The sequence below is a fragment of the Homo sapiens genome, chromosome X (assembly GCF_000001405.40).
Source record: "Homo sapiens chromosome X, GRCh38.p14 Primary Assembly".
NCBI lineage: Eukaryota > Metazoa > Chordata > Mammalia > Primates > Hominidae > Homo > Homo sapiens.
In genome coordinates, this window is record NC_000023.11 from 130,230,759 (window position 1) to 130,243,046 (window position 12,288).

The 12,288-nt window shown below is 34.6% G+C and overlaps 1 protein-coding gene across 2 annotated transcripts in view; it reads right to left on the bottom strand.

Annotated features, from left to right (window-relative positions):
• The window catches only part of ZNF280C (zinc finger protein 280C), a 66,193-nt gene that overhangs the window by 28,052 nt on the left and 25,853 nt on the right, over window positions 1-12,288 (bottom strand). For both annotated transcript variants that reach the window (XM_006724765.4, NM_017666.5), the window contains exons 6-8: window positions 8,824-8,935; window positions 5,711-5,881; window positions 5,456-5,562 (exon numbers count right to left, since the gene is read on the bottom strand). In XM_006724765.4, coding sequence (XP_006724828.1) covers window positions 5,456-5,562; window positions 5,711-5,881; window positions 8,824-8,935 — 390 coding nt within the window. The remainder of the gene's footprint in view (window positions 1-5,455; window positions 5,563-5,710; window positions 5,882-8,823; window positions 8,936-12,288) is intronic.

The window sequence follows — 12,288 nt, forward strand, 5'->3', positions numbered from 1 at the left end:
ACAGCTCTTTTAAAGATTAGATACCAAAAAATGATTGTGTTTACATCTAAGGTCAGATGATATAAAACTACGCTTGGCAATGTATCTAGAAAGATACTGACCAAAATTGTGGCTTCCATTTTTACATATTCTAAAAAAATTCAAACAATAAACACCTACTATCTTAATAAAGGAATAACTTCAAAAACAATATTGAAAACCTTAAGATCAGGGGATGTTTATGTATCTAATATTTTTTCCTTGCAATTTTTCTTTTTAGATGTAAATATTTAATAATAATATTTTTCTTGGCCCAAAATCACCCATTTCATATCTGTGTCAAGATACAGCTTACATGCTTATACACCACTGGTAGGAATGTAAATTAGTTGAGCCACTGTAGAAACAGTTTGGAGATTCTCAAAGAACTAAAAATGGAACTACCATTTGACCCAGCAATCTCATCACTGGGTATATACTCACTGGAAAATTAATCGTTCTACCAAAAAGACACCTACACTTGTATGTTCATTGCAGCACTATTCACAATAGCGAAGACATGGAATCAACCTAGGTGCCCATCAACAGTGGACTGGATAAAGAAAATGTGGTACACATACACTATGGAATACTACACAGCCATAAAAAAGAATGAAATAACGTCCTTTGCAGCAACATGGATGCAGCTGGAGGCGATTATCCTAAATGAATTAACACAGAAACAAAAAACTAAATATCTTATGTTCTCACTTATAAGTGGAAGCTTGTAAGTGGAAGCTAAACATTGGGTATACACAGACATAAAGATGGAAACTACACTGAGGTCTCCAAAAGTTGGGAGGGAGGGAGGAAGGCAGGGGCTGAAAAACTTCCTATTGGGTACTATGTTCACTATTTGGGTGACAGGATCAGTAGAAGTCCAAACCTCAGCATCATGCAATATACCCTTGTTAACAAACTTGCACATGTACCCCTGAATCTACAATAATTAAAAAAAAAATAGCTTAGGCTGGGTGTGGTGGCTCATGCCTATAATCCCAGCACTTTGGGAGGCTGAGGCAGGCGGATCACGAGGTCAGGAGTTCGAGACCAGCCTGGCCAATATGGTGAAACCCCGTCTCTATTAAAAATACAAAAAAATTAGCCGGGCGTGGTGGCACGTGTCTGTAGTCCCAGCTACTCAGGAGGCTGAGGCAGAAGAATTGCTTGAACCCGTAAGGCGGAGGTTGAAGTGAGCTGAGGTCGCGCCACTGCACTCCAGCCCGGGTGACAGAGCAAGACTCCGTCTCAAAAAAAAAAAAAAGCTTAAAAGGTAGTTTTACATGCCATTATGTATAAGCTTGATTATCAAATAACACAGTAATATTTAAGTGAAGCCTGGTTGGAACTAGACTTTGAGCACAGCTAACCTGCCATTCTCCAGACTTACCATGCTAGAAAATGTGTGGGACACAAAAAAGCATCAGTTACATTTTGAATATCTCAACATATTCTATCTAGAATGCCTAAATATCTGAAGGGGAAATCTACCTCATGAATAAAATCAAGACATCATATAAACTGATCCTAATTGGAATACTTTCATATATAAGCCTTTTTTATCCAATGAGATGAAACTAATTTATTTATTGTATATATTTTACAGTTGTAGAATTTCTCTAGAAGAATTCTCTAAGAATAACTGGATAAAAAAATAGGAGAAACTATCTGAGAAAGGGTTAAAATCCAAAATATATGAGAAATTCCTACAACTCAATAGCAAAAAACCAAATACACTAATTTAAAAATGGGCACAAGGAATTGAATAGACAAAAGACGACTTATGAGTAGCCAACACATATGTGCAAAGGTGCTCAACATTGCTAACCATTAGGAAAATGCAAACCAAAACTACAATGAGCTATCACTTTACACCTATTAGAACAGCTATATCAAAAAGACAAAAGATAAGTGTTGATAAGAATGTGGAAAAACGGGAACCATTTTACACTGCTGATGGGAATGTTATTGGTGCAGTCGCTATGGAAGACATGGGAGGTTTCTCAAAAAGTTAAAAATAGAACTACCATATGATCCAGTAATCCTACTTCTGTATATATGCCCAAAGGAATTGAAATCGGAATCCCAATGAGACATCTGTACTCCCATGTAGGTAGACTTCATTGCAGGGTTATTCATAATAGCCAAGACATGAAAGCAATCTAAATGTCTATTAATATACAAATGGATGAGGAGGATGTGGTATATATATATACACACACACACACAAATGAAATATTATTCAGCCATAAAAACAGAAAGAAATCTTATTTGCACCAACATGTATGGATTTGGAAAACATGCTAAAGAAAATAAGACAGTCACAGACAGACAAATATTACATGATTTCTGTTATATGAGGAATCTAAAATAGTCAAACTCATAGATGCAGAGAGTAGAATTGTGATTGCCAGGGGCTAGAGGGAGGGGAAAATGGGAAGGTATTAGTCAAAAGGTATGTAGGTTCAGTTATTCAAGATGAATAAGTCCTAGAGATCTACTATATAGAATAGTGCATATATAGTTAACAATACTGTATTACATACTTAAAAAAATTTGGCCAGGTGCAGTGGCTCACGCCTGTAATCCCAGCACTTTGGGAGGCCAAGGTGGGCGGATCACCTGAGGTTGGGAGTTCGAGACCAGCCTGACCAACATGGAGAAACCCCATCTCTACTAAAAATACGAAATTAGCTGGGTGTGGTGGTGCATGCCTGTAATCCCGGTTACTCAGAAAGCTGAGGCAGGAGAATTGCTTGAACCCGGGAGGTGGAGGTTGCGGTTGTGGTCAGCCGAGATTACACCATTGCACTCTAGCCTGGGCAACAAGAGTGAAACTCTGTCTCAAAAAAAAAAAAAAAAAAAAGATTTGCTAAAAGCATAGATTTTCTATTGTGTTCATATCACAAAAAGGTAATAATAATAAAGAGGGTAGGAGGAAACTTTTGAAGGTGATGGTTATGTTTATGACACAAATTGTAATGTTTTCATGGATGTATACTTAGCTCCAAACTCATCAAGCTGTATACATTAAATACAGATTTTTATAGGTCAATCATACCTCAATAAAGTGTTAAATAAAGACAAGACTACATACTAAATAAATACTAAATAAAGCGTTAAATAAAGACAAGACTACACACTAAAACAAGGGTGGAAAACAAAAGAAAAACTTTCCTAAAATCACAAAGTGAAAGACTTTTTTTAAAAAAAAAAGGACAAAGAAAGCATAACAAAGCATTGTGACAAAACTAAGACCAATTAAACCTATCAGACCAGTTAAATTTCTCCTACCAATGAATATACATGGGTTTAACTCAACTTCTAAAAGAAAAGAAGTTTTCATATAGGATCACAAAAGAAAAAACTCTGGTGAAAGCAAGAAAGAACAAAAACAAAGTGATTTGGGAGGGTTGAAAGTAAAAGGATAAGCAAAGAATATAACAGGCAGGTGGAAACAATAAGAAAGCAAGGGTTGTGAGCCTGATATCAAACAAAAAGCACTGAACAGACAAAAAGGACACTATAAAAATGCTAAAGGGTGCACCCACAATGAATCGTAAGAGATGGATACATCTATGTCCTAAAGAGCAACACCATGAAACAGAATTGGAAGATATCAAGGGAAACAGTGGTAATGTGAGACTTGGATTCCCCTTTCCCAAACACACTCAGGGAGGTGAAAACAGCCAAAGACTCTAATACAGTTTTGCGTCAGAGTAAAGACGTTTGTATTTGCAATTTTAGAATTCCTTTTTTGTAAAATGCTGAATTTTAATAAAAATTTGCCAATCTTTGAAATAGTGAACAATTCCTTTTCCTAAGTTGCTTCTTTGCTTTGCACTCGTCTCATCACTTATTTCCCACATATAATCAACACTGACTTTTTTCTTGCCTCCTTTGCCCCTTCCTGTCATTTACACTGGGCATGCAAAGAGAATACAGACTATCTTTATACACACATAACAGAATACTGTAATATCTACTAAAATATTTTAAGTGGCGTGTTACCTTAATCCCATACTCTATTAGTACTGTGAAAATTACCTAAAACCTAATTTCAAAGAGCTTCCTATATTAATAGAAAGCTAGAATTCATTTATAACTATATAAACTATATTATGGATTGAGTTAAAACTATCATTTCATATGAAATGCTCCATCATTAGAAGTTTATTTCTGAGTGTTGAAAATTAAAATGTAAGACTAAGGTTTTCATAGGGTAATGTGACATGCATTAAGTCACCACGGGCAAAAATAAGGTTTTCACAGGGTAATGCGACATGGATATGTCACCATGGGCAAAAAATAAGGTAAACAAAAGGAGCTTTCACTTTACACAAAAGATTAAGCACCTAATAAAACACCTGCTTTACAGGAAGTTTGAAGAATGTCATAATTTAGTCAATAAAATATTGCAATTTGTACATTATTTTCATTTAAAATTAAAATGCAGGCCAGGCGCAGTGGCTCACACCTGTAATCCCGGCACTTTGTGAGGCTGAGGCCAGTGGATCCACTTGATGCCAGGAGTTCGAGACCAGTCTGGCCAACATGGCAAAACCCCGTCTCTACTAAAAATACAAAAATTAGCCAGGCATGGTGGTGCTACGTGTAATCCCAGCTACGCGGGAGGCTGAGGCAGGAGAATCGCCTGAACTGGAGAGGCAAATGTTGCAGGGAGCCAAGATTGTGCCACTGTACTCCGGCCTGGGTGACAGAGCAAGACTCTGTCTCAAATAAATAAATAAATAAAAATAAAATACAATATGCATACACTGTACTGCATATGAACTTAATTAAAAAATTTAAATTGATACATAATGTTTATAAATTATTATGGGGTACATGTGATATTTTAAGTGCACAGAATATGTAATGATCAAATCAGGATGTCTGAGGTATCCATTACCTCGAGTATTTACCATGTCTCTGCGTTGGCAATATTCTAAGTGCTCTCTCCTAGCTATTTTTCACTCTACTTTGCACCAAACATTACAACTTATTCCTTCTATCTAACTGTATATTTGTGCATAATAACCAACCTCTCTTCCTCTTCTCCTACCCCTCCACACATACCCTTCCCAGCCTCTGGCAACTATTGTTCTACTCTCTACCTCTATGAGATCAACTTTTTTAGCTCTCACATATGAGTGACAACGTCCATTTGTCTTTCTATGCTTGGCTTATTTCACTTAACATAATGGCTTCCAGTTCTATCCATAACTTTATTTTAAAAATTTCATCATTGGAAAGGATTTTAAAATCTTATATAATCATTGTGAATATCAATTTTAACTTAAGTTACATGGAAATGCCAATACGAGGTTTCTTCTCTAAATATCTGGATAAACCAGCATTTACTGTATATCAATTTTCAATATTTTCAAGGATCTATAAAACATTTTTAACAATTGAACTTTGAAAAAAGTTTTACCTTCATGTGGTATTTCAAAGGATCCAAAAGATTGAACTGAACATTGCACTTTGGACAAGCTCTTAGGTAATCTGCTCCAGCATCATATGGAGATGAGGTATTTGTACCTACAATAAATTAAGAACTTTTAAGACTCAAATCCATCTTTTTAAAACCTTAAATGACCACTAATAATGGTTTTAAAATTCATCACAATTTCTAAAACGTATATAAAAATAATACTATTTTTTTTTACATGTCAGATTTCATGTTTACCTTTTGACAGCATAACTTGGGAGGATGTCACTGGAGGAGAGCCAATTAAAGGCAATGAAGTGGAGGGATTTATCTGAGGAACATCTTCACTGGTCTTTGGTTTTTTTGGAGTAACACTGTTTACTTTAGAAGTAGAAGGATGTTTCAACACATATGAAGTATTTTTCATACCTACAAAGATTTAAATAGTGAGAAAGATATTTGTAAATATTTCAGTATGGAATATTGCTTATGTAAAACTGCTACCAAAATGGCTTTACATTTAAAACTGAGCAAAAACAGTTTGGAACTAAGTTAAAGGTAATATAATTTAATAAGCATATCATACAAATGACAATAAAGAATGATTAAAATTTATATGAGCAAGCAGAAATTGCACAAACAGCTACTACTATGAACTACATATCTTTACTTCACAAAATAAACTTTATATACCCAAATTCTAAAAATGCTTTCAAATAAAGAAAACAAACAGGTATCATGAAAAAAGTTAGACCAAAAAATTCCAAGCTAAATAAAATAAATAAAAGTTATAGCACAGGGAATACTCTAAGTTTCTACACATCAACTTATATTTAGATGCTTAAATACATTTGAGTTTGTAAAATATTTAAAAAATTTATTCCAAACGTTTAGAGAAACATTTTTAATGTTTTTTAAAAAACTTAAGATGTGTAATGGAAAATTCAAGTTGGTTCTTTTTCCACCGAACAAACTAACAGGTGGTTTAAATTATCTTGTTTACTCCCTATATACAAAGTAGAAACAACTAATGTTGAATGATAATACCTCACTCATTCATATGAAAAGGTTTAGAGTTAGTATAATGACTTTCAAAGTATGTTCCCCTTAATCCAATGGGTCTATCTTAGAAAATGTAATGGGTATGTCAGATAAAGAAACTCTGCTTTTATGTTTTATTAATTTCTGCATAAATTTTATCTGAGTAAGAATTTCATTGCTAAAGATAGTTCTGAGTTTGAGAGCCACCACCTTAAAGACCAAAGGATTATATAATTCAGGGCATTCCCAAGACATGTGGGGCTATTTAGGCTATAACCAGACCCAGCAAAAGTGATTTTTGAAAATAATATACGATTGTACTTTGTGATAAGGGTTCTAAAACTGCATGTCGTGTTTTAAAAGCTCACAACTGTACATTAATAGGAGAAGCAGTAGAGTAGATATATGCCAGGAAAGTAAGTATTACATTAATGGGTTCCTCTGTTAAATCTGTGTTTCATTCTTTGAGATAAAAATGATTTTTTCCTTAAACAGAAATGATTTTTTCCATCCTCAAAGCACATAATTACTGCCAGCTATATTGAAGGCACCTAAGACTAATTTTTGTGTAATCACTAACATTTTTTCTGAGATGCTTAGGTTACTTTAACAACCAATGAGTGCTAGTACTTTGGACTAGGCAACTGATTATATAACCAGCTGGATAATAGACTGTTTTAATATATGCTTATTTTAAGCATGATGAATCTAAGTTAAATAAAATCAACCTGAGCTCAATAGTTTTAAATTCTGACCCTTTAGCTTACTTATTTGTGTTGTGTTTGGCTTGCGGTGTTCCCTACCTCAACTCTTCTTATCTGTGCTAATAAAAATCCTATCCTCATTCTTCAAAATCAAGTTCAAATCCAACTTTCTCTAAGAACTCTCCATGATCATCTTAGACAGGAGTCCATTAATCATGCTTCTGAACATATAGCACATATTATCATGCATGATTATCATTCTAACAACTGTTTATTGTCAAATCCTTTAAAATTGATAATGCATTTTTCACTTTCCACTTATTTTATTTGGGCCTCAAAGAAGCCCTGAGATAAAGAGAGCAAGAATTAAAATTGAATATCCAAATGGCTGGCTCATTTCAGGTCTGGAGAATAAATGCTTTATGTGAGAAAAATGAAAGTATTTTAATAATGTGAGAAAACTGAGGTATAAAGAGGTTAGATGACTTGATAAAAGCCACAAAAATCTTTAGAATAAAGGCTTAAACCTGTACCTTCCCAATCAACTATAATCCTATTTACTATTCAGGACAAAGTCCCACTCTCTGCTGTATTAATCTTAGAGAGAGAGTAGGAGTCACTGTCTTTACCCTTTGGAAGCTTCAAGAATTCAGACTTTTTCCATGAATAAAGATCATGTGCTTTGCAAAACCCGAGTTAAAACAACTGTTTTATCTCCCTGTTTGTTTCGGTTCTTGGCTATTTTACTATCTAGATAAGTGACACCTAGATAGGTGAATATCAAACCAAGTAATATAAAAATGGGAAAATATTTTTGGCATTCATATGACTATAATTTTTTTGTTTTGGTTTGGTAAAGGTTATATACTAATTTATGAGTAAATAATTACATATGCAAAAAAATTGTGTTCCTCTTTCCATTTAGTGAAACATATCAAACTAGGTAATATAGAGAATAGTAATTGCTTTGATTATAGGGAATTTTTCAATGAGACAAAATTCCTTTATTGGCATACTATTTTAGGTTAATGAAGAACTTTGTTATGGTGGACATCAAAGAACTGTAACACTTCAATTGGAAAATTTCCATTATTACTTCAAAGTATATTTACTGAGTACTTACCATGTGGAAATCACTGTTTCTTTAGTTCGTTCATTTTACAATACTACTCTATAATCATATTTAACTATCATATCCACATCATTTATTTGAATAGAAAGACATTAGCATATTGAGAAATCAACTATAACCATGCACGTTTTCTCATATTAAGTGTCTTCCAAATAATTACTACTTGTTTTCGCAGAGTATTTAAGGCATCAGGGGACTTCCTTGACTCACAGAAATTATATTAAGATTGTTCAGTCCATGGCTGGTTCCAAGTGAAAAAGAGTGCAAAGAATATGTGCTAGCCAACTTAATAGAAATAAATAAAACATTCTATCACTAAATACAATTTTCTATATCACCCAAGAAAGGCATTCAGGAATGATTAGCTCTATTCCATGTTATAATATATGAAAAACTTAACATGAAGGTATGGGCTTCAAAACAGAAATTCAATTCCATATGTATATTCGACAAGTCTCTTTTTATAATTTTTATGAAAGAGTGCTAAACCAAACCTTCTCTAAAAATTGCTGGTATGTCTTGGGATGGTGGTAGTGATTCCTGGGTCGAGTCAAACAGTAAAATTGAAGAATTATCCGATCCAACTTGTGAATTCTTTGTAAAATCCTGTAAAAATTTATAATTATTTTGTTTCATAAACTTTTATAGAGATAAATTTAGCTGTATGTCAATACTATAAAGAATCTTAATAACTCAATTACTAATATGGTATAAAACACAAAGGTAATTATTAGTCTCTGCCAAAATTAGCATCTACTGGGTGAGGAGTATATGGGAACTCTGCATTATTTTTGTAATTTTTCTGTAAATCTAAAATTAGTTTGAAATAAAATGTTAAAATTTAAAAATAATATTACAGGCAAAGTAGAGGTTATATTTTGGAACAACTTTTCTGCAAGGAAATTTTAGCAGTATCTATATCAAGGGCTTTTTAAAAAAAGTTCATATTCTTTGGTCCAATTATTCCAATTACTCAATTTCTAAGAATCTATGCTAAAGAAATGAAAATGTTTAATGAAGAATGATTTATAATAGCAAAAATTGAAAACCTGTATGTATAACAATAAAGAAATGACTAAATAAATTAAATGATACTATCACATAACATCATGTTTTTGGGAAATACCCAATGACAAAGAACAATGTTCCCAGTACAATGTTCAGTGAAAAATGAGGAATAGATATCAAATATATATTAATATGGTCCCCTGACTGATATACTCTAATGTCACCCTAACCATCTACAGAAAACGAAAATCAAAATACAGTATATATTCTTCCCTGTCTCTTTTCTAACCTATCCCTCCTTACACAATACTTTTATAATGAGGATATAAAGATTTTGCTTGCTTGTTTTGTGCTTACACTTTGAGAGATGATTAGGTTTTAGACTATGACTTAATTGTAACCAAGTGCAATCTTACCACAAAGTAAATATTTTCTCTAAATATTTTTTATTTAAAAGTTTAAAAGTGGAAAATATCCGTTTGCAATTTCCAAAAATAGTTAACAGAAGTTCCTCTGAATAAAGGTAACACTTTCAACCTTTTCTGAGGTGACATCTCTGATAAATTAAGTACCACAATTTCGGAAAGCAGACACATTATTCAACAAACAACCTGTTAAATAATTCTCCAATTGGGAATTTCTTATGTCTCATAAAATATTTCAGAAAGATAACAAATGTAACAGTAAGGCAGACTAGGCAAGAGGCTGAGATTCAGAAGACCTGTCCATTTATTTAACTATGTTACCTTGGGCAAGCCACTTCTGAGCTTCAAGTTATTTACCTTTCCAACTGAAATAAGAGCCACTAATAATTATGTATTTAAAATGTACTTGCCTCTTTCACAGTACATGTATTTTATTAATAGTTGTCATAACAGTATGAATAAAGACCTAATATTATCTCACATTTTATAAATAGGTAAACTAAAATTTCTCGTAGTTAAGGTTCCCAGTACAACCCAGCCTGTTACAGATGAAGGAGCTGGAATCAGAACTAAGGTCCGCCTGATTACAAAGCCTGTGTCCTTAAGCTATATCTTTAAAAGAGATAATAATAATACTCACTTTAAAAGAGATAATAATAATACTCTCCTTCCCTGCCTGAAAGAACTGAGATACAGATAATGAAATAGATTTAAATTTTTAAATAAAATTTCCTTATGTAGGATTCTCAATTCATTCGAGAATATCTGTCTGTCATTCTCAACTCTGGCTGCACATTACAGTCACTTGGAGAGTTTTACAATGTCAACACAGTGAAGAGCACAAATGTCTACGACAATAGTTTTAATCCCACAGATCCCTGAAAGAGACTTAGGGAACCGTAAGGGTACACCACTGCTCTAAGGCAATGCTTCCATTTAAAAAGTACATACTTAATGGGGCTGAGTGCAGTGGCTCACGCCTGTAATCCCAACATTTTGGGAGGCTGAGATGGAGGATAGCTTGAGGCCAGGAGTTCAAGACCAGCCTGGGCAACACAGTGAGAGCCCCATCTCTAAAAAAAATTAAAAGCCAAATTAGCTGGGCATGGTGGTGCATGCCTGTAGTCCCAGCTACTTAGGAGGCTAAGTGGAAGGATCGCTTGAGCCCAGGAGTTGGAGGCTGCAGTGAGCTATGATCATGCTACTACATTCCAGAGTGGGTGACAGAGCAAGACCCTGTCTCTAAATAAATAAAGTATATGCTTAAATGTATAAATGGATGTGTGTATACACATGTTTAAAATTCTGGGTTAACCTGGATTGAAATACCAGATCCATCATTTACCAGCTGTGTGTCCTTGAGTGAATCATTTATCCTCTCTGAGCCTGAGTTTCCTCAACTATAAAATGGGAATAATAATAGTGCCCATCTCAGCTGGGCGTGGTGGCTCACGTCTGTAATTCCACACTTTGGGAAGCCGGGGGGGGGCGGGTGGCAGATCACCTGAGGTCAGGAGTTCGAGACTAGCCTGGCCACCATGGTGAAACCCTGTCTCTACTAAAAATACAAAAATTAACTGGGTGTGGTGGTGCGTGCCTGTAATACCAGCTACTCGGGAGGCTGAGGTAGGAGAATCTCTTGAACTTGGGAGGCAGAGGTTGCAGAGAGCTGAGATCACATGACTGCACTCCCACCTGGGAGACAGAGCAAGACACCGTCTCAAAAAAAAATAAAATAAAAAAATAAAAATTGTGCCTACCTCATAAAGATGCCATAAGAATTAAATAAGATTAGCACAAAGACTTGTACATATTAACAGGCCAGTAAATGTTAAGTATTATCATTATCTATTACTTTTATTAAAAGTTTTTAAAGCTAAACTATGAAAGTATGATTTCAGAATAAGCAATAATGACTTCAGAACACTCTTTCCAATTTAAGAACACTTGTTTTAGTTTATTAACTTAAAAATGTGGCCATTATGCATTATTCATGTTGCAATACATTTTAGTTTTTTATTTTGTTGTTGTCTTTTTGAGATGGAGTCTCACTCTGTTGCCTGGGTTGGAGTGCAGTTGTGCGATCTCGGCTCACTGCAACCTCTGCCTCCCAGGTTTAAGCAATTCTCCTGCCTCAGACTCCCAAACAGCTGGGACTACAGGCATGCGCCAACACGCCTGGCTAATTTTTTTTTATTTTTAGTAGAGACGGGGTTTCACCACGTTTGCCAGACTGGTCTTGAACTCCTGACCTCAGGTGATCCACCCACCTCGGCCTCCCAAAGTGCTGGGATTACAGGCATGAGCCATTGCGCCCAGCCTTTATTTTTTTTATTAAATAGAGACAGGGTTTCACCATGTTGCTCAGGCTGGTCTCGAACTACTGAGCTCAAGCAGTCCACCTCCTTCAGCCTCCCAAAGTGCTAGGATTACAGGTGTAAGCCACTATGCCCAACCTGATCATACTTTTTCACTCATATTTAGATAGTATAGTTTTCAATACTGTATTTAAGCATATTAGCTGAT